The sequence below is a fragment of the Homo sapiens genome, chromosome 13 (genome assembly GCF_000001405.40).
Source record: "Homo sapiens chromosome 13, GRCh38.p14 Primary Assembly".
Lineage (NCBI taxonomy): Eukaryota > Metazoa > Chordata > Mammalia > Primates > Hominidae > Homo > Homo sapiens.
Window position 1 is genome coordinate 69,783,755 of NC_000013.11, and position 24,599 is coordinate 69,808,353.

The 24,599-nt window shown below is 36.3% G+C and overlaps 1 protein-coding gene and 1 pseudogene across 4 annotated transcripts in view; one reads left to right on the plus strand and one right to left on the minus strand.

Moving 5' to 3' along the window:
- KLHL1 (kelch like family member 1) overlaps nt 1-24,599 on the minus strand; it is a 407,856-nt gene that overhangs the window by 83,158 nt on the left and 300,099 nt on the right. For all 4 annotated transcript variants that reach the window (NM_001286725.2, NM_020866.3, XM_017020678.3 and 1 more), the window contains one exon: nt 12,984-13,208. In NM_001286725.2, coding sequence (NP_001273654.1) covers nt 12,984-13,208 — 225 coding nt within the window. The remainder of the gene's footprint in view (nt 1-12,983; nt 13,209-24,599) is intronic.
- On the plus strand, nt 19,186-19,287 carry RNY3P10 (RNY3 pseudogene 10; annotated as a pseudogene).

Here is a 24,599-nt window from a genome sequence, read left to right on the forward strand (position 1 = left end):
TGCGGGATATTATCCAGGAGAACTTCCCCAATCTAGCAAGGCAGGCCAACATTCAGATTCAGGAAATACAGAGAATGCCACAAAGATACTCCTCGAGAAGAGCAACTCCAAGACACATAATTGTCAGATTCACCAAAGTTGAAATGAAGGAAAAAATGTTAAGGGCAGCCAGAGAGAAAGGAAGGTCGGGTTACCCACAAAGGGAAGCCCATCAGACTAACAGCTGATCTCTCAGCAGAAACTCTACAAGCCAGAAGAGACTGGGGGCCAAAATTCAACATTCTTAAAGAAAAGAATTTTCAACCCAGAATTTCATATCCAGCCAAACTAAGCCTCATAAGTGAAGGAGAAATAAAATACTTTACAGACAAGCAAATGCTGAGAGATTTTGTCACCACCAGGCTTGCCCTACAAGAGCTCCTGAAGGAAGCACTAAACATGGAAAGGAAAAACCGGTACCAGCCACTGCAAAAACATGCCAAAATGTAAAGACCATCAAGGCTAGGAAGAAACTGCATCAACTAATGAGCAAAATAACCAGCTAACATCATAATGACAGGACCAAACTCACACATAACAATGTTAACTTTAAATGTAAATGGACTAAATGCTCCAATTAAAAGACACAGACTAGCAAATTGGATAAAGAGTCAAGACCTATCAGTGTGCTGTATTCAGGAAACCCATCTCATGTGCAGAGACACACATAGGCTCAAAATAAAGGGATGGAGAAAGATCTACCAAGCAAATGGAAAACAAAAAAAGGCAGGGGTTGCAATCCTAGTCTCTGATAAAACAGACTTTAAACCAACAAAGATCAAAAGAGACAAAGAAGGCCATTACATAATGATAAAGGGATCAATTCAACAAGAAGAGCTAACTATCCTAAATATATATGCACCCAATACAGGAGCACCCAGATTCATAAAGCAAGTCCTTAGTGACCTACAAAGAGACTTAGACTCCCACACAATAATAATGGGAGACTTTAACACCCCACTGTCAATATTAGACAGATCAACGAGACAGAAAGTTAACAAGGATACCCAGGAATTGAACTCAGCTCTGCACCAAGCGGACCTAATAGACATCTACAGAACTCTCCACCCCAAATCAACAGAATATACATTTTTTTTTTTTTTTTTTTTTTTTTGAGACAGAGTCTCGCTCTGTCGCCCAGGCTGGAGTGCAGTGGTGGGATCTCAGCTCACTGCAAGCTCCGCCTCCCGGGTTCACGCCATTCTCCTGCCTCAGCCTCCCAAGTAGCTGGGACTACAGGCGCCCGCCACTACGCCCGGCTAATTTTTTTTTGTATTTTTAGTAGAGACGGGGTTTCACCATTTTAGCCGGGATGGTCTCGATCTCCTGACCTCGTGATCCGCCCGCCTTGGCCTCCCAAAGTGCTGGGATTACAGGCGTGAGCCACCGCGCCCGGCCCAGAATATACATTTTTTTCAGCACCACACCACACCTATTCCAAAATAGACCACATAGTTGGAAGTAAAGCACTCCTCATCAAATGTAAAAGAATAGAAATTATAACGAACTGTCTCTCACACCACAGTGCAATCAAACTAGAACTCAGGATTAAGAAACTCACTCAAAACCACTCAACTACATGGAAACTGAACAACCTGCTCCTCAATGACTACTGGGTACATAACGAAATGAAGGCAGAAATAAAGATGTTCTTTGAAACCTATGAGAACAAAGACACAACACACCAGAATCTCTGGGACACATTCAAAGCAGTGTGTGGGTAGAGGGAAATTTATAGCACTAAATGCCCACAAGAGAAAGCAGGAAAGATCCAAAATTGACACCCTAAGATCACAATTAAAAACTAGAAAAGCAAGAGCAAACGCATTCAAAAGCTAACAGAAGGCAAGAAATGACTAAAATCAGAGCAGAACTGAAGGAAATAGAGACACAAAAAACCCTTCAAAAAATTAATGAATCCAGGAGCTGCTTTTTGAAAAGATCAACAAAATCGATAGACTGCTAGCAAGACTAATAAAGAAGAAAAGAGAGAAGAATCAAATAGATGCAATAAAAAATGATAAAGGGGATATCGCCACCGATCCCACAGAAATACAAACTACCATCAGAGAATACTACAAACACATCTACGCAAATGAACTAGAAAATCTAGAAGAAATGGATAAATTCCTCGACACATACACCCTCCCAAGACTAAACCAGGAAGAAGTTGACTCTCTGAATAGACCAATAACAGGCTCTGAAATTGTGGCAATAATCAACAGCTTACCCCCCAAAAAGAGTCCAGGACCAGATGGATTCACAGCCGAATTCTACCAGAGGTACAAGGAGGAGCTGGTACCATTCCTTCTGAAACTATTCCAATCAATAGAAAAAGAGGGAATCCTCCCTAACTCATTGTATGAGGCCAGCATCATCCTGATACCAAAGCCTGGCACAGACACAATCAAAAAAGAGAATTTTAGACCAATATCCTTGATGAACATTGATGCAAAAATCCTCAATAAAATACTGGCAAACCAAATCCAGCAGCACATCAAAAGCTTATCCACCATGATCAAGTGGGCTTCATCCCTGGGATGCAAGGCTGGTTCAATATACGTGAATCAATAAATGTAATCCAGCATATAAACGGAACCAAAGACAAAAACCCCATGATTATCTCAATGGATGCAGAAAAGGCCTTTGACAAAATTCAACAACCCTTCATGCTAAAAACTCTCAATAAATTAGGTATTGATGGGACATATCTCAAAATAATAAGGGCTATCTATGACAAACCCACAGCCAATATCGTACTGAATGGGCAAAAATTGGAAGCATTCCGTTTGAAAACTGGCACAAGACAGGGATGCCCTCTCTCACCACTCCTATTCAACATACTGTTGGAAGTTCTGGCCAGGTCAATTAGGCAGGAGAGGAAAATAAAGGGTATTCAATTAGGAAAAGAGTAAGTCAAATTGTCCCTGTTTGCAGATGACATGATTGTATATCTAGAAAACCTCACTGTCTCAGCCCAAAATCTCCTTAAGCTGATAAGCAACTTCAGCAAAGTCTCAGGATACAAAATCAATGTACAAAAATCACAAGCATTCTTATACACCAATAACAGACAAACAGAGCCGAATCATGAGGGAACTCCCATTCACAATTGCTTCAAAGAGAATAAAATACCTAGGAATCCAACTTACAAGGGATGTGAAGGACCTCTTCAAGGAGAATTACAAAACAAACACTGCTCAATGAAATAAAAGAGGATACAAACAAATGGAAGAACATTCCATGCTCATGGGTAGGAAGAATCAATATCGTGAAAATGGCCATACTGCCCAAGGTAATTTATAGATTCAATGCCATCCCCATCAAGCTACCAGTGACTTTCTTCACAGAATTGGAAAAAACTACTTTAAAGTTCATATGGAACCAAAAAAGAGCCCTCATTGCCAAGTCAATCCTAAGCCAAAAGAACAAAGCTGGAGGCATCATGCTACCTGACTTCAAACTATACTACAAGGCTACAGTAACCAAAAGAGCATGGTACTGGTACCAAAACAGAAATATAGATCCATGGAACAGAACAGAGCCCTCAGAAATAATGCCGCATGTCTACAACCATCTGATCTTCAATAAACCTGACAAAAACAAGCAATGGGGAAAGGATTCCCTATTTAATAAAAGGTGCTGGGGAAACTGGCTAGCCATATGTAGAAAGCTGAAACTGGATCCCTTCCTTACACTTTATACAAAAATTAATTCAAGGTGGATTAAAGATTTACATGTTAGACCTAAAACCATAAAAACCCTAGAAGGAAACCTAGGCAGTACCATTCAGGACATAGGCATGGGCAAGGACTTCATGTCTAAAACACCAAAAGCAATGGCAACTAAAGCCAGAATTGACAAATGGGATCTAATTAAACTAAAGAGCTTCTGCACAGCAAAAGAAACTACCATCAGAGTGAAAAGGCAACCTACAAAATGGGAGAAAATTTTCACAACCTACTCATCTGACAAAGGGCTAATATCCAGAATCTACAATGAACTCAAATTTACAAGAAAAAAACAAACAACCCCATCAAAAAGTGGGCAAATGATATGAACAGACATTTCTGAAAAGAAGACATTTATGCAGCCAAAAAACACATGAAAAAATGCTCATCATCACTGGCCATCAGAGAAATGCAAATCAAAACCACAATGAGATACCATCTCACACCAGTTAGTTAGAATGGCAATCATTAAAAAGTCAGGAAACAACAGGTGCTGGAGAGGATGTGGAGAAATAGGAACACTTTTACACTGTTGGTGGGACTGTAAACTAGTTCAACCATTGTGGAAGACAGTGTGGCGATTCCTCAGGGATCTAGAACTAGAAATACCATTTGACCCAGCCATCCCATTACTGGGTATATACCCAAAGGATTATAAATCATGCTGCTATAAAGATACATGCACACATATGTTTATTGTGGCACTATTCACAATAGCAAAGACTTGGAACCAACCCAAATGTTCATCAATGATAGACTGGATTAAGAAAATATGGCACATATACACCATGGAATACTATGCAGCCATAAAAAATAAAGAGTTCACGTCCTTTGTAGGGACATGGATGAAACTGGAAACCATCATTCTCAGCAAACTATCACAAGGACAAAAAACCAAACACCACATGTTCTCACTCATAGGTGGGAATTGAACAATGAGAACACATGGACACAGGAAGGGGAACATCACACTTCGGGGACTGTTGTGGGGTCAGGGGAGGTGGGAGGGATAGCATTAGGAGATATGCCTAATGCTAAATGATGAGTTAATGGGTACAGCACACCAACATGGCACATGTATGCATATGTAACAAACCTGCACATTGTGTACATGTACCCTAAAACTTAAAGTATAATAATAATAATAGAAAATATAGTATTTATGTATATCTTAACTCATAGCCTAGGAATCTTGATAGACAGTGTATAAATAATATTAAGCAATAAATACTTGGAGCTCCAGGTACACAGAAGTGATGAATAAAATGAAGATTTTAGAAAGACTTGATCAGAGATCAGCCTATAAGATAGGTAATCTTTAAATTGCAGAATACAGGGGACCTTTTTCTGATTTATTAGTTATAAACTCTATTATTCTAATGATATTACAATGGCTATTACAAAAATGACAGTCATAGTTCTAACACTGTTTTCCTCTTTTCCCCTCTCAGGAGAATTCAGGAGAAAAAGATAAACACTGGACTCCACAGGACTCTATCTATCTATCTATCTATCTATCTATCTATCTATCTATCTATCTACTTATTTACCTACATATCCATCTGTCTATACCTATGCCTATATTAAAATCTGTATCTATCCTCTAAATTTAAAATACTTTAATTAAATCATTGCATGAATTTAATTTATTCCACAGGAATCTTTAGGATCGATCTATGCTATCAATTTCACTCAGACATTGAATTTCAGAATTTTTTTAAAATTACTTTTTTAAATTATTTTACATGTCTGTCTGTCTTTTATTTTGTATGGGTAACTTGACAAAATAAGTCTTATTTAATAAATTAAAAATATAAAAAATCAAAATATTATTACATTATTATTTACTTTTTTTTTGGCAACAGCATATATGTTAGAAAAAATATGACTATTGAGTCGAGGAATCTGAGATTAAATCCAAAGTTTTCCTTGTAACGTGATGTGAAATAGGGAAATTTAGTTGACTACTTTTTTCATCACTTTTTGTACAATTAAAATGACATAAACAGTATAAATGACATAAACAGTATTTGTGTTATAGGGTAGTTGTGAGAATTTAATCAGTTAACCAATAGTAGAATGAACAAATGACCATTTTTTTTCCTCTACTGTCCTACTATCTGATCATTCTTACTTTGGAAACATATATAGACATCAGTGTTCTTGGAAAGCAAGGCTTGTATTTCACTATTGATGACAATAAGTTGAGCTACTTCTCCTTCCTCACCTTGAAAACGTAAGGCCAATAGTGTGCTTCCAACAAGAGACTTTAAATCTGGAGTGACCAAAGCAAAGAAGGAAAGAAAGATTTTGTTTTGTATTTGTTTTGCATTGTCAAAGGTTGAAGCAACATTAAGTAAGTTTGGAGGAGAATGTAACTTAGAGCTACCTAATACGTCTAGAGTAGGTAGAGGCAGAGACGCCAGCTGAAGCATCCAGCGTCTTTCCATAGAAACATCTTTGTCCTCACCAGGCGTTCACCGAGATGTAATTGTGGTCTCTATTTAACTATCAAGCTTCTCTTGGTGTTAGCCACTTCTGACACATTTGGTCAATTTTCTAAGCTAACCATTATGTTTCCAAAAGATTCCTCTTATTTATGGATCACTTAGTTTATCCTTGTTGTACCCATATAAAAGCAACCTCTTATAGTGACATTGTCAGGAATTGCATGAATAACAACCTTCAAATATCTACTAATAATAAGAACACTGGCAAAAAAATATTAAACTCTGGAAACTAAAAATAAGGCTGGGAACAATATAGGAAGCATGTATTCAAGAAAAACAATGAAATCTACAGAACAGTGAGGTTTAAATATGCTTATTTTTATCTCCTTCTCTGTAATGTTGTGGTTGCCACCAATCCACTACAAAATATTCCACAAAACTGAATATGAGAAAACATTTCCCAATTCATCCATGGTGCCAATATTACCTTGATACCTAAACCAGACAGAGACATGATAACTAACTCTAGACCAGTATCTCTTGTGACTATAGATGTGAAATCTTCCACAAAATACTAACAAACAAATAAAGAAATACAGCAAAATATAAAAAGAGTTCTACACTGTGACTAAGTGTAATGTATTTGAAAAAGACAATGTGTATTAACATCTGAAAATTTTAATTTAATATACTCTACTAATTAATTGAAAAAAGACAAAAATCACATGCATATTTCAATAGATACAGGAAAATCCAATACCCTTTTCATGATAAAAACATTCATTGAACTAGGGGCCAGGCAAGGTGGCTCACGCTTGTAATCCCAGCACTTTGGGAGGCCGAGGCAGGTGGATCACCTGAGGTCAGGAGTTCAAGACCAGCCTGGTCAACATGGGGAAATCCCATTTCTAAAAGCAAAAACAACAACAAATAAAACATTCATTGAACTAGGAATATAAGGGACCTTTCTCAGCCTGATAAAAACATCTATTTTTAAAAAAGGAGAAACATATTTAATAGTGAAAGTCACTTGTATAGTGAATGCTGGAGGGTCAAGCCATTGCTGTGGGGGAAACACACACACACACACATAAAAAAGAAAAAATAATAATAAATACAAAGAAATATATTAATCTATTAAATATGTTCAGCCAGATTTCAGGATACAAGTTAAATATACAAATACAAACTGTATTTCTATACGCTAGCAATAAAAAATCTGAAAATGAGATGAAGAAAACAATCACATTGATAATAATATCAAAAATAAATTATTTAGGAATAAATTTAGCAAAATAGGTACAAGACTAGGGACCTAACTCAACAGAATGACATCTCATATACAAGATTGGAAGATTTATTTTTTTTTACGTGGCAATACTCACAAATTGATCTGGAGATTCAATGCAATCAATATTTAAATCCCAGGTACCCTTTTGTAGAAATTGATAAACTGATCTTTTTTAAAAAAATATGGAAATACAAGGGACCCAGAATATCCAAAAATTCTTAAAATAAAAACCAAAGACAGTGTGATCACACTACATGATTTTAAAAACTACTACAAAGCTTCAGTAAACAAGAAAATGTGGGAATGGCATAAAGATATACACATAGACTAATGTAATAGAATTGAAAAATACAAAAATAAACCCTCACAGTTATGGCCAATTGATTTTTGACAAGGGTGCCAAGAATTCAGTGGGAAAGAAAGGTCTTTTCAACAAAAGAAGCAAGGACAGCATGCAAAAGAATGAAGTAGAACTGCTATCTCATGACAAATACAAAAATAACTCAAAGCACGGATCATATTTCTTAATTTAAGACCTTAAATGTTTGAAATCTAAAACTTTAAAAAGACAACACAGGCATAAATCTTCATGAACATAGATTAGAAAATAATTTTTTGGATTTATCAATAAAACCACAAGCTAAATAAATAAATAAATAGAATTTCATGAAGTTAATAACTTCTGTGCTTCCAAAGGCACGATTAAGAAAATTGCAGAGCGTCAGGAGAAATAGCGAATGCATGCTGGGCTTAATACCTAGGCGATGGGTTGATAGGCACAGCAAATCACCATGGCACATGTTTACCTATGTAACAAACCTGCACATCCTACACATGTACTCCAGAACTTAAAACTAAAAAAAATTCATAGAATGGGAGAAAATATTTACAAATCTTAGTCTGATAGAGGCCTTCTAACCAGAGTATCAAAACGTAAAAGGAACACTTATAACTCAACAATAAAAAGAAAAATAACCCCAAGACAAGAATAGGAAAATATTTCCATAGAGCTTTCTCCAAAGAAGGTATACAAAAAAGATTCTCAAAAATAATTAGAAATGAGAAACTAGGAAATGCTTATAAACCCACAATGAGATACTACTTCAAATATACTGGGATTATTTAAATAAAATCACAATTTTAGGCAAAAATGTGAAGAAACTGATACCCTTATACGTTGCTGGTGTGAACAGAAAATGGTGCAGCCACTTTGGAAAACAGTTTTGCAGTTTCTCCAAAAGTGAAACCAAGAATTAACCACAGGACTCAATAATCCCACACCTACATATATACCAAAAACAATTGAAAACATATGTTCAAACAAAAGGCATATATAGTAGTTTAAGTCATAACAGCCAAACTATAGAAACAAATGTCCTTCTATTGATGACGTATTAACAAATGTGGTAAAGCTTAATAATGGAATATTGTTCATCCATAAACGGAATGAAATATCGATATACACTACCTGAAATTGACTTTAAAACATTGTGCTACATGAAAGAAGCCATACACAAAAGGCCAGAAATTGTATAATTATTTTTACATGAAATATTCAGAATGAGCAAATCCACAGAGATAAAAAGCAGATTAATTGCTGCTAAGGAAAGACTGGGTTATTAAGACTGACAATGTATTGGGTATAGGATTTCTTTTCAGGATGACAAAAATGTTTTGGAATTTGCTAGTGGTGATGTCTGCTCATCTCAATATATTCAAACACACTGATTTCTGTACTTTAAAATTTAATTAACTTTATGATATGTGAATTATATCTGAATTGAAACCAAACTAAAAGCAGAAACAACCCCTACCATATATTTAATATATAAGATGTTGCATAGCACATAAAAAATCCATAATAAATAATCACTGTTATGCTTTACCAATTTCTCCTAAAACACTTAACTGAAATAGTGCATTGTAGTAATGTCTTATTCAATTTTATATGACATAAAATATTATGAAAAAAGATAATATATAGAATTATATGCTTAAAGACTTAAGTGATAAAATAAAAATTTGTAGCATACTGAGAAAAGTGTGGTCTTAATTTGTTTAATTCCCTGGGCAGATCTTTGCTCCCTTGATGTCACAGAATTTAAATGAATATAATTTTTATATGTAACTTTATCCAGCAGAATGATCATTTTTCGATAGCTGTGAAACATTTTAAACCACGCAGTTTTAGCAACTACAGAACTCATGTGACTTTCTCATAAAATCATGTAAGTTTTTTTTTTACATAAATCAAAGGGAAAAAAGCTAGATAAGTCAAAACACATTTTGAGGTTTCATTTTTTTCAATTTTTAAAATTTTACTTTAGACTCTAGCTTCTTTTCACTTGAATGTATAATATGTTATTATATATTCAATTTTATAAAACCTCTGCATACCACACATAGATACAAATTAATGGTGTGGCAAATAAAATGATACATTTTAGTTTCTGAACGAGTAGAAAACTAGCACAAACTGTTGGTTTCACACTTAAACCCAATCCTGCCGATTATACTGAAGAGAGAGTAATCATATATATTTGAGAGCCTGACATCATTTGTGACGTTCTGAGTGAGATAAAAATTTAGAGCACTGCCTTGAGAAAATATCTGGGAGGAAAACTTGATATGTTCTTTTTTTACTACCCCATATTGTTCCCTTAGGAAGAGTTACTGCATGTTTCCTATCCCTCAGTGATGATACATCAGTGTCAGTGCAGAACTTGCCAGAACTGGATTGTTAACATCACAATGCCATCAGAGCCCAGCTTGAATGAGGAATTTTGAATAGCAGAAGCAAACAGACTTGCTGGTCATGAATATTACCTTCTCATTTAAGCTACCAGCTCTAAGGTTAAGGCATCCACAGATAAGAAAGAAAATCTTAAGAGGATTTATGTGCAAATGGAAGTAAATAGATGCAACCCCTGAGGTCTACATACTAGAGATAACAGCAAATAGGTTGAGCGAAGTCAGCTTACAGGCTTAGGGCTTCATGCCCAGCTGTAATTCCCCCAGCTACTCCTGATTGTTTTGATAAGACACAAAAACGTATCATATGCCTTAGCCCTTCATACAATTACCCAAAGTATCTGATACTGGCCACATGAGTACTCAGATAAAAGAATTATGTATTTCAGAGGCTGCAACTACCATTAACCAGCATTAGAAGAGAAAGAGAAAGAAACAGAGCATCTTAAAGGTGGGAGAGAGGAATTAGAAAGAAGAGCAGGAAAGAAACAGTAGAAAAAAAAAGAGGAGAAAAAGGATGAACAACAGAGAAAGAGGAGAGAGAGATTAAAAAAAAAGAGCTGGGGGAAGGAGAGAGAAGGAAGATGAATCTACAATAAAAAAGAGTTAAAGAAGCAGATAGGAATTTGAAATAGGAACAGTACGTAGCCTAACAGAGATAAGGGAGAGTATGAAAACCACTAAGAAGAAGAAAGCAATTATAATGAATTACCAAGTAGGGATAGCAAGAATGTAAAAAACAAATTTAATTGACATTAAGATATCAATACATGAAATATATACCATGATGCACACAGATTAAGAACAATACAGAAGGCTGAATATTAAAGTTACCTCTCAGGAAAGGATAAAGACAAAAATATAAAATAAAACTTAATAATATGATAGATTAAGGAATATCAACATCTATGCAATGGAAGTCCCTGGAAGATGGAAGGAGGTAAATCAAAGGCTGAAACTTTACATTGGAAGAGCAGCAATCTTAGGCCGAGGATGTTTATTGTATTTGAGTACGATACATAATGCCGAATTTCCTATGATTCAACTGATCATAAAGGAATAAGACTGATTATAAAGGAAGCACTCTGCCTCATCGGAGAACACAGATATCTTGTGCCCCCATCAACCTGGCTTTAACTGACTGAACCTTTTATTGGCGTGTAAATCAAAGGCAGTCTTCTACAAGGGCATTGTCAGTCATCTTTCCTTCTCTCTCTCTTTCCTTTTCTCTCTCTTCCCCCATCAATCTGTGTATATTTAATTTCTTTAAATTTTACTTTGGATTGATGGTGGAGTAGACATGAATGCAAAATACAGTGCTGGGAACATGAACATTGAACAAGTATTAATTTTGCTTACCTGTGAATGTCTAAATCTGTGGATTTGCAATTAAACTCTGTTATCTGTCTAACATGTATGTTCTAAATATAGGAAAGGAAGCACTTAGTCAATTTGCTGGCATATTTCAGATCTTTAAAAGAAAGTAATTTGTACTTCTCCTTACAATCCTCATAAGACAAAGTGTAAATTCAAGAACTGTTAGTCTTTATTAAATTGTTCTTTATAATAGGTATATAGGACTTTACAATTTACAAAGTGATTTCATAGTCATTTTAATTATTATATTTTTGTCTACTTAAAAACCCTGAATTGGTGGCAAATCACAAAACCAAGGCTCAGTTTAAATGCTGGCCCCAAATCATGCAAATAGAAAGTGATAAATTCAAGATGCACATCGAGATCCGAATCCAGGTATAGTTCTCTCTAGTTCCTGGTTACCCCATAGCAGGGAACAGATAAACCCTGTCATAATGACTTATGGTGCCAGCGAATGTGTTGCTCTTTCTCTAAACGTTTATTGTCCTCTTCCCCACAGATTTTTCAAGGTGGAATCAATTAGGTTCAAAGACATAGATGTGCTTAATCAATAATGTGAGAGAAACTACCTTAAGTTTCACTCAACCCACATTAACTATTTTTCCCTCTGGGTTGCACTACTTCGGCCTTTCCATGTTACTTCATTTTTCCATATTCAACTGTACATATCGTATGATCTTTGAGGACAGCTTGAGGTCTACTTTGTGGATGGCTTGGAGTCTACTCTTTTAGAGAACTTTAATATGTATCTCAACGGTTTAAAATTAAGACTAGTAAACACAGGAAGATGTCAAGAAATTTAAATACAAAATATGCTTCAAATAAGCCCATAATTTACTTAAAGATAATGATAATTGATGACATTGTCATAGTTTGGATGTTTGTCCCCCCAAAACTCATGTTGAAATTTGATCTCCAGTGTCAGAGGTGGGGCCTACTGGGAGATGTTTGGATCATGGGAGCGGATCCCTCATGAATGGCTTGGTGCTGTCCTCATGGTAATGAGGTCTTGTTCTATTAGTTCCCTCAAGAGCTGGTTGTTAAAAAGAGCCTGACACCTGCTCCTGTCTCTCTTGCTTCCTGTGTAACCATGTGATCTCTGAATGCATGGCCTCCCTTTGCCTTCTGTCATGAGTGGAAACTTGGAAACTTTCACTAAAGGCCTAATATTCCAGCTAGAAGAATAGTGAGCCAAGAAATTTTTCTATGTTAATTACCCAGGTTCAGGTATTCCTTTATCGCAACACAAATTTACTAAGACAGACATCAATAATATATTTTATCATATAGTTACATTATCAATAACATGTTTCTAAAAGTAATATCAATAAAGTAAGATCTTACCTAGACCATGTCTGTGTGTTGACATTGGTGGTAAGACAGTCCATGTCTTGGTTTTGGGATTGTAACATTCAACAGTGTTCAATGTCTTTAAGCCATCTCGACCTCCAATTACAAAGAGTTTGTCATCAATAACAGCCACACCAAACTGCAGCCTTCTGCCATTCATCATCCCTGCCTGGATCCACAGATTTGTTCTCAGATCATATTTCTCTATAGTTGTAGCTCCTGATAAAACATAAAATCAAAAAGTCACCAATTGCTATAAATTCAACAAACAGCCTGCCAAAGCAGGGTACAAATTAGGATGTGAAAACACTCTTGTCATATTCATTTTTTTTAAAAGAAAAAGTGGCAGAAAAACAAAAGGAGTAGTAATTCAACTACTTTATTTTCTCTTCTTGGCAGACATGAATGATCAAAATAGACACAAATGTTCACCTTGTTCGAATTACATAATGGTCTCATGCTAAACTATTGATTCTATAGAAACATTGGTGAGCATGACCCAGTTCTGTCAGTGGATTTTACAAATTCCCTCTATCACTTTTGTCATTTAAAAATGTAGCATAATACCAGGTTGAAAAATATTTATGAAAGCCCTTTTAAATAATTAAGCTATGCATGTTATTTGGATAATTTCTGAAAGTTAATTCAATAAAATATTACCATGTTTTTCTTTAAATTTGTCATACGCCTTAAATAACTGAAGGTTTTAAAAGTCAATTGTAAGATATATAAGCAAATATTTGCTATGCTTTTTAAACCAGCTTTTAAAAAATAATCTGGGGAAGAGCTTAGGCCAGGCGCAATGGCTCACGCCTGTGATCCCAGCACTTTGGGAGGCCGAGACGGGCGGATCACAAGGTCAGGAGATCGAGACCATCCTGGCTAATTAACGGTGAAACCCCGTCTCTACTAAAAATACAAAAAAAAAAAAAAAAATTAGCTGGGCATGGTGGCAGGTGCCTGTAGTCCCAGCTACTCAGGAGGCTGAGGCAGGAGAATGGCATGAACCCGGGAGGCGGCGCTTGCAGTGAGCAGAGATCGCGCCACTGCACCCCAGCCTGGGTGACAGAGCGAGACTCCATCTAAAAAAAAAAAAAAAAAATCTGGGGAATAGCTTAATAGAATTTTATAAAATGATCTTCTATCCTGAACAATCATGTTAGAATCTCTAAATAATATAGCTTATATTTCTTAAAAGCTTTTTACATATAAGTTTGAGAAATGCAATAACTCTGACTAATAAAATAGAAATTGAAAGAAGCAGCTAAATTACTGGTGAGATTTGTTTTAATGGGTTTAATTACCCAATTCTCATTAAAAATGCCTGTGTAGAACAAGCTCCCAAATGTTTATAAGATAATATAAGCTAACAGACACTGATCTTGATGTAGTGTTTGACTTCATGTTCAGACTCACCTTCACCAATGTTATACCTTCAATCATGAAACATTTCTACAAAGCAAATTAACATTCTTGTGTACTTTCACTTAAGCACTGATGATCTATTTTACCTGTAATAAAAGTTTGCAAATCTAGGGAATATATTCCTCTGGGGACTCATTTACTCTTTAGAACCTAACTAGTAATGAACTAAATGAACATAAACACTTTCATAACAGAAGTTTTGCTAATTAAAGTAAAAACGATACAATTTATGCTCAATTTTTACTTAAAGGTAATAGCAATAATTAGATATGTCAAATCTGCTTTCTGATATTGCTAAAATTATAGGTTCATTCCAATATATAACTAATTTTGAACTATTAGGAAATTATTGTTATTGTTAGGATAAAAATAAATTGCAATGTTCACAAAAGTTATTCAATACTGTTTATTAACATGTATAATATTTTAAACAGATGTATTTTATATTTTAATATATTTATTATATTGGATATTGAATGTTTTATTCATTTGACTTCAAATCAAAATTCTAAAGCAAACTACATAGTTGAATAACTTCAAAGTCATCTGGATTCTCAAAGCTTGATAACTTTTATATTACATGAATGCATAACTAAAAATTAAGAGTTATACACAGATGGCCTGGTGTGTGGCTCACACCTGTAATCCCAGCACTTTGTGAGGCCAAGGAAGGTGAATCATCTGAGGTCAGGAGACTGAGACCAGCCTGGCCTCAAACTCTGTCGAAACCCCATCTCCACTAAAAATACAAAAAATAATAATAAAAATAAAATAGCCGGGCATGGTGGCTCATGCCTGTAGTCTCAGCTACTCAGGAGGCTAAGGCAAGAGAATCCCTTGAACGTGGGAGGCAGAGGTTGCAGTGAGCTGAGATCGTGCCACTGCACTCCAGCCTGGCAACAGAGTAAGACTCAGTTGCATAAAGAAAAAAAAAAAAAGGTTTACACAGATATCTGTCTCTTGTGACTATATTTGACCGATGATGGCAGAAGAAAGTAATCTAATCCTAATTAACACAATCTCATTAGGCTCATATTTTCTGGTATGAGTGGACAAGGAAGAAAGTACTTGAACAACTGTACTTCCCACAGACTCCAAAGCCTTGCTAAAAATCTTTGCAGGGAATTTGAGGTCCAGTTACCCTCCTCAGAGGAAATAGTTAGGAATGAGTGAAATTAAGACTTCCGAGCAAGCAAAGGAGTTGCAATTCAAAAAGGAAAAGTCAGGAATTGATTTGGATTTCAAAGCCTCATTCAAATGAGCTAGATAAGTCTTAAATCTCAATACATGACAGGATTTTTAACCTTTACAGTTTTTCCTGTAACTTCAGTCTTCAAAAGTGACCTACTCACTTATCCTAGTAGCTACAGCAGAAATAGGAGCTCATTTCCATCTTCATTTTTCAAATTAGAATTTATATTAATTTACTATGGCTACTGTTAAGAATATTTCCAATTTAGTGACAAATAACACAGATTTGTTATCTTACAGTTCAGGAGGTCAGAAATCTGAAATGGTTATTTCTGCACTAAAATCAAAATGCTGCCATGGCTCTGTTCCTTTCTGGAGGCTGCAGGAGAAAATCAGTTCTCTTGCCTTTTCTATCTTCTAGAACAAGGGTCCCCAACTTCCAGGACGTGGACCAGTAATGGTCCGTGGTCTGTTAGGAACCAGGACGCACAGCAGGAGGTGAGCGGCACCCCGAGCTCCACCTTCTGTCAGACCAGCCGTGGCATTAAATTCTCATAGGAGCGCAAACCCTATTGTGAACTGTGCATGGGAGGGATCTAGGTTGATCATACCATATGAGAATCTAATGCCTGATAACCTGAGGTGGAACAATTTCACCCTGAAACCAACCCCCACTCTCCGACCCCTGTCCATGGAAAAATGTTCTTCCACCAAACTAGTCCCTGGTGCCCAAAAAGTTGGGGACTGCTATTCTAGAGGCCACCACATTCCTTGTTACTCCATCTTCTATCCCCAAAGTCAGCAACATTGCATTTCTCTGACATTGACCCTTGTGATTACAATGGGCTCATACCAGTTTAATCAGACATAATGTAGAATAATCTGTTTATGTTAAATTCAGCTGCTTAACAACTTTAATTCCTTCACAAGCTTTATCCCACTCTTTCTGTGTAACATAACATATTCACAGGTTCCAGGGTTTAGGATATGGACATTTTTCTGGGCGGGGTGGAGGGAGGTGCATTATTCAGCTTACCTCAGAAACCAAGGCCTATTTATACTCCAGTCTTCAATCTTGCTCAGTTATATAAAGTTAAGCAATACAAAATGAAAAAGGATATTTTATGTTTGTAGAGCTTACTCATACTAGCCAATACAATTGATTTTCTTATTCAAATGTCAGCAGGTATTGTAAACATTTTGTCTTCTTTTTAAGAATAATAAAATTAAGGTATGCTTTCTTTTTATGAAAATTATTAATAATAATATCCTTCATGGAATTTCCTCACCAATGTACTTTATTAGCTTTCTATCTAAGCCACCTCATTCTATAATTACTATTAATTTATCAATTTGTGAGTTCTGTTGTTTTCTTTTGTTTCTAAGACTGTATGTATTTCCCTGGGTATTTTCTGAGTCAGAAGAAAAGGACAAAGTCAGTCGTGAGTAATTTTAGCCTTTGTTGTCCCTTAGAGAAAAACCAATATTTATCATAATATAGATTACAAACAGAATACAAGTTAGAGTGGACTGCTGCAGTGCTATGTAATAAACTTGGAAGGGATTCAAAATGAAAGTTTACTTTAAGACATAATTATTTTAGGGTTACTCTGTTAATGAAGCCATCACTGGTATCTCAAATACCTACAAGGTGAAGTCGAATTACTCTGTGCGTAGAATATACATTATTCGGGTGATGACTACCTAAAGCCCTCGATGGACCACAATGTAATCCATGCATGTAACAAAATTGCACATATATACCCCATACATTTATTTAAAATATAATGAAATGTGGGACTGCAGGCATGACAGAGTCCTGACCACTTTTGTTAACTGAAGAATGACCACTCTACTGAAAAATAACAATCACTACTTTGTTGTTGCCATTGGAAATTCTGGCTGAGTATTGCCAGGCATTTTGACTGATTAAGAGGAGGCAGAAATCTAGATTTTTAAAATGTGCAATCTCCAAACAATAAACATATAATAATTTAAATAATGTTTAAGTACATAAAAACAAGCACATGGCCACATCTGCCATAGAGAACTATTATTAGGAGTGGTTATATCCACATTGTTTTTTCTCTTAAACTCAAGACTGCTGCCATTACAAACATGTCAAGGTTGCATTAGCTTTAGTAGGCAATTATGTTGTCATTGTGTGAGCTTTTGTACAGTAATAATATTATTTTATAAAAGGTATACTATAATTTAATAAAATCTAAAAGAATCGTAAAGTATCTTAACCTGATGTAGTTACATAATTCAAAGGTGAATCTCATTCATCATATATAGAAAATCTGAAATACTAGATAGAAATTTTTCTGACTATTTGATATAAGACAACATAGGATATATTTATGTCCAATTTTATAAACTTGATAATTTATTATAGACTATATGTTAGTTAAGAGATAGGTGTGTAGCATTTGTAGTAATATCAAATTTTGATACTGAGTTATTAGAAATAATTCCTACAATGCCCATTGATTATTTTCTTTTTATTATTTTTTAATTTTACTTTAAGTTCTGGGATACACGAAAGAACATGCAGGTTTATTACATAGGTATACATGCGCCATGGTGGTTTGCTGCACTTATCAACCCGTCATCTAGGTTTTAAGTCCCACATGCATTAAGTATTTGTCCCCTTGCCCCCCTACCCCCTGACAGGCCCTGGTGTCTGATGTTCCCCTCCCTGCGTCCATGTGTTCTCACTGTTCAACTCCCACTTATGAGTGAGAACATGCAGTGTTTGATTTCCTGTTCCTGTGTTAGTTTGCTGAGAATGATGGTTTCCAGCTTCATCCATGTCCCTGCAAAGGACATAAATTCATTCTTTTTTATGGCTGCATAGTATTCCATGGTGTATATGTGCCCCATTTTCTTTATCCAGTCTATCATTGGTAAGTATTTGGGTTGGTTCCAAGTCTTTGCTATTGTAAATGGCGCTGCAATAAACATACGTATCCATGTGTCTTTACAGTGAAATGATTTATAATCTTTTGAGTATATACCCAAGAACTCCCACTATTGAGTGAGATTCTCAAAGTATGGGGGATAAGGGAGGAGACCATCCCTCATATTGTCTTATGCCCAATTTCTGCCTCCGTAGAAAAAAGAAGTAAAAACTAAAAGGCAGAAATGCAATCCACAAGCAGACAGCCTGGCGCCACACCCTGGGACTGGTAGTTAAAGATCGACCCCTGACCTAATCAGTTATGTTATCTATAGAATACAGACATTGTACAGAAAAGCACTGTGAAAATCCCTGTTCTGTTTTGTTCCAATCTAATTACCGGTGCATGCAGCCCCCCAGTCCCGTACCCCCTGCTTGCTCAATCGATCACGACCCTCTCACGTGCACCCCCATAGAGTTGTGAGCCCTTAAAAAGGACAGGAATTGCTCAGTCAGGGAGCTCGGCTCTTGAGACAGGAGTCTTGCCGATGCTCCCGGCTGAATAAACCGCTTCCTTCTTTAACTCGGTGTCTGAGGGGTTTTGTCTGTGGCTTGTCCTGCTACATTTCTGGGTTCCTACAATGTCCATTGATTATTTTCTATAAAAAGTATTTATAAGGCTGGTCTGAGTGCCATTGCATTTACAACTAATCAATCATAACCAATTACAGATTTCTTTGTTCATTCTCCATTCCCACTGCTTCTCTCGACCAGCCTTAAACAGAAGTATTCATATAACCAAGAGAATTCATGATATGTATATTATTAAGAGCTACTTGACACTTTAGGGATATTTTAATTGAAATATTATTCTTAAATAAATATTGAGTAAAGGTGTTTTGTGTAGGGAGTTTTAAATAAGATATTAATAAATAATATTGTGAATATTTCCTTTGCTCTAAGAGCTTTACCTACATTACTACATTTCATTTTATAAAAGCCTGATGAAATACATATTATTATTGTGTCAATTTTACATAATAAAAACAAATTACAGAAAACTTTAATTACTTGCACAGCATCTCTCAGTTAACACCTGGTACATCCACAATATTAACCTGGCTCTAGAGCCCACTCTGAGAAACACTTCTTTTTATGACTTCATCCCAGATGTAAAAAGAGTTAATTGCAATTAATATATGCAGTGGGTAGAATTTAAAAAATTTCCCTTCCTGAGATTACATGACCTATTTTCCAGAACCTGTGCATATGTTGAAATATCAGTCCATGAACGGCTACGCTATATAGCATTGTTGACTTTAAAATAGGAATAATATCTCGCTGGCCTTGATGACGTGATCCCCTGAAAGTGAGAGATTTTCTTCAGGCTAGTGGTAGATGGGGAAGGAGAGCTTTCTCCAGTTAGTGGTAGAAGGGAAAATCAGAGAGTTTGAAGCATGAGCAGGACTTGACTTACTGTTCCTGGCTTGAAGATGGGTCATATAAGAAGGAATGCAAGTGGTCTCTAGAAGCTGAGAATGATTCTGACCTGACAACCAGCAAGAAAACAGTACCTCAGTTCTACAACCACAAGGAATACATTTTGTCAACAATCAAAATAAATTTGGAAAAGTTCCAGATAAGAATATAGCCTAGCTAACACCTTGATTTCAGCCTTGTGTGATCTTGAGCAGAGAATTCAGACATGCCACCCCAGGCTTTGAACCTACAGAACTCTGAGGTAATAGATGGCAGTTGTTTTAAGCCACTTTTTCTGTGGTAATTTGTTACAGCAGCAGTACAGTATAGTTCTTTCAAATGTGCATTTTTACAATTTATAAAGTATTGGTTTTTCAAGTTCAATAATTTAACCAGAAGATATTATATATAATACAAATACAAAACTACTTTCCTCATGACAAAACGAACGGTAGACTCCTTTCTCAAAATATAAAACTGAGAAAAAATGGTCAGGATGTTATCCAAAGTGCAGTTCTAGGTCTCTCAGGAGATATTCACTTATGTAGACAAATATAATTTTTTTGTGGGGGGGGGAAATAGTAATTAATGTTTGTACACTCTAGTTTGGCAATACAGACAGCAGAATTTGTTCCTACATCTATAATTCAAGCAAATAGCAACCTCACTTATCTTGCATACAGCACAGAATTCAGTGATAAAAAGTTTTCTCAACTGACAAAAGAGATGTCACAAAAAAGCTCCTAAAAAGAAAATAAAGCTCTCTTATTCAACTCACCAGAGAGATCTTTACCTGTTCTCACAATGACTTTTTACTGCAATTTTAATGCAATATTAATAACTGGACTTCCAAGCCATTTTACAAACTCACAAAGTAGAATGATTTAGGATAATTTAAAGCAGCAATGGGTGGCAGTGAGAAAATAACCAGGAAAAAAGAATGCATCGACTTAAATAGAACAATCACTTATGGTTATTAAACAACAGCAACAAACGATAAAATCCATATTATATAATACCTAAAGGACAGCTTGGCCTAACACTTTGGTGACCTTGATGCCATCAAATCATTAGGAAAAAGTTGTTATGTTTGATGTATTGTCTTTTAAAAAGCAGGAAATAGTGAGATGCATTTTGGAATAGTTTAAAATCAAAAAATTTTTTATGATCCATAACACATAAGACTTCAAGCTTTAAAAAACATCATTATAAAGAATTACTTATTTTTTCAATGTTTTATAGTGTAAGCATTTCATTGACTTTCATGTATTCATATTTCTCTGAAAAATAAAGTTTTAGTATAACATTTTTATACTTATATAAAAGGTATCATTGCAGGAGAAATATTTTTCCAGCACAAATAAAAGTCTTTATTTTTTTAAGTAATTTGTTATATAAAAGTGGCTTTGAAAACATTTCTAAATCATTATAATTCCAAATGTGCCAAATAAGCAACCAAAATATTCCATATCAATCCCTGATAAAATATTAATAGAGTGATATGTAGCTATGTATAGACATATACATTTAAGTTTACCATTAAACTTAATGCTAGATGTTGAAGTAGATCTATAAATTTTGAAAATCCAGCATTTTGCTTGCTATTAAACTAATCTCATTGAAATGAGGAAGTACAAAAAGAAGTCTACTTCTTGGCTCATAACCAAGGAAACAAAGAATATAGAACACATTTCTATTGTATGTATTACATGTAATAGTTCACCTTAATAACTAAAAATTTTTACCTTTAAAATCTTAGAAAAAATAAAACACTTCTGGAAGTAGGTAAATCAGAAAAGCAGAATACAAGTCAATACAATATTTAAATAAAAATTAAAACCATTTAGATAGTGGAAAGAAGATAATAACCTATTTAAGGTAGCACCATTAAGAGCAAACAATCTAAAAATAAAATTAGCAAGGTCAGTACCAGCTCTAGATGAAAAAAAACAAAAAAAAAAACAAAACAACACTACAATTCTGTTGAGAGATATTTGTTGAATGAATGGAAGAAAAGAAAAAACAAAACTACACTGATTCTGAATGATATTACTTATTTCATAATTTATTATATAACATTTAATATATTAATAATGATATTTGTACAAGGAATTTATAAAATTATACTGGCATTTCTTTGGAAACTTAACTGTACAATACTAGGAAGTAAATTATTTAAAACCAGACAATTTCTAATAGGCTGCTCAAGGGGAAAAAACCCTATCAGATATTAAAAAGTATATAACTATAGCGTTTTCTTTAAACAAAATTACTGATGAAGAATAGCTACATTAATGAATCTGAAAGAAAGCCAGAAATAACCCTAATACATATGAGTATTTTTAATGTAATAAGAGTGGTTATACGCATCAATGGAAAACATCTTATTATATAAAAATCTAAGATAATTTGTTATTCTTTTGAGAAAAATAAGTAAATCTTGATTCCTGTCTTACTCCTTATACCAGAATGAATTTCAGATGAATTGATTACTCAAGCACAGTTCACATGGCCACAACTTGATAAATGTTTGCTTCTGTTCTCTGGGTCCACATATATTAACCAAGACATAGTTTAAGTTACCTTCCAGGATAATAGTCACAGTCTAATAAAACCTTAAGAGAACTACAGATCAAGATGGCTGACTAGACCCAAGTAGCATGTACCTCCTCCACAGAGACAAACCAGAGTAATAAGTACATACTCACACTGTACAGGTCATCTAGGAGAGAACACTTGGATTCATCAGAGAAGAGATGGGAAGTGCCAGAAGTAAGTAAAGATAGTGTTCCAGGCAGCTTACCCAGCTGGGAACAGACTGACAGCTGGAAACCAACTGAGACCCTGGACGTGGGGAAACAATAAGATAGAAACCCACAGAGCTCAGAAATCAGCTTTAACAATCTGGGCCATGGGAGAAACCCTTGACCAACCACTAGGGCCTCATGTCTGATACATGGAGCTGCCTAAAGATTCTCAGAAATGTTGCTCCAGAAAGGCAACCCACACAGAAACTCAGAGGCATTTGAGCCTGGAGTAACCTCAGTGGGAAGCCATTTTGAGAGTGCAGATACTGGGGACCTACAGGAATGGCTATAGCCACTTGCAATGATCCAAGGAGGAACAGGGGAGAATAAGCACACCCACGCAACCTCTGGTAGGGTACTTGCCACTCTGCTACAAGTTGCTGATCAGATTAAGACACAAGTGGACCATACACTCCACAGCTTCTTGTTCACACTACATGCCTTGGTGGTGCTCTGACCCTGTCTAGTTCCAGGCCCAAGATGTCATTTTTGGGAGTTTAATACTGGGCCGAGTTTTGCCTTTGGCCTGAGTTCAGGCTGACATGAGTGCAACTGTCACCTGATCAAGGACTGACAGAGAAACCATGTCATCCCATGCATATCTAGGACAATACTCACTGCTCTGCAAGGAGCTGATGTGAGATCCAGTTGTAATTGGACTGCACTCCCCATGGCTTCTTGTTGACACTGCTTGGTTGGATGGTGCCCTACCCTCTCCAGGCTCAAGATACTATTTTGAGAGTTTAATGCTGGACCAAGCCCACCCTTGGCCTGAGCTTGGGATGATATGGCAGCAGCTGCTGCCTAGCCAAGAAGGGACAGGGAAATAAGGCCATCCTAGGTATGTCTAGCACAATACCCACTGCTCTGCCGGGAGGGTACTTTTCTCCCTTCTCTGTTGCTTCTGCTCCCACTGCTACCTATTGCCTCTTACTCTTCAGGACCACCTACTAGACTGCTGTTGTTAGACTGAGACATGAGCAAACCACACTCCCCATGTAGTTCACCTGAGAGGGGCCCCACTCTCTCCAATTATAATCCCACACCCGGCACCATTCTGAGTGTTTAGAGATGTTGTTTGGTGACTGGTGGCAATGGCAGGCATTTTATTCTCAAGACTAAAGAGACTGGAGAGCTTGCTCTGGAATGGGGAGAAGGACTTCCAGAGCTCCAATGAGTGGTGTGTGTGGAGAGTGCCCAGCAGCTGGCACTGGAATTAGACTCTCTCCCATTACAGGACTGGAGTGCGAGGAGTGTTGCTGAAGCTGAGGTTTCTTGCAGATGGCAAGACTGCAGCCAGGGTAGCTTTGGAAACTGAAACCTGTCTGTGTGGGTCATTGCTGGGTGCCCCAGGCTGCTCTTTTGGTCACTTGGGGGACAGTGCTCCTTAGCTCTGAAGAATAAGAAGGAGGCAGATGTCACTCTCCTGGAGATCTAAACCTTTGTGTGGATTGTCCCTAAGGGAGGATAGAGTGCAGCCACTCAAAGTCCACCATAAGTTAATGAAAATGCAAGTATAACACCAGCTACTGAAGGCAACACCACTGAAGCCCAGGAATGGATATGGAAAGCGGGTCACCTCTTTCCCCCCACACCCCACCTCACTAAACTGCTGCAGACTCAGCAGTGGCTCTTCCCACTGGGCCCAGGAAGTGTGGGTTGAAAGAGACTGTTTCTTGGGCTTCTTTAGCAGCTCTGCCATGACTACAGGCAAACATACCCTGAGGGAGGGTGCTTTTCTTCCTTCTCTGTTGCTTCTGTTCCCACCACTACCTACTGTCTCTTACTCTTAAGGACCACCTAGTA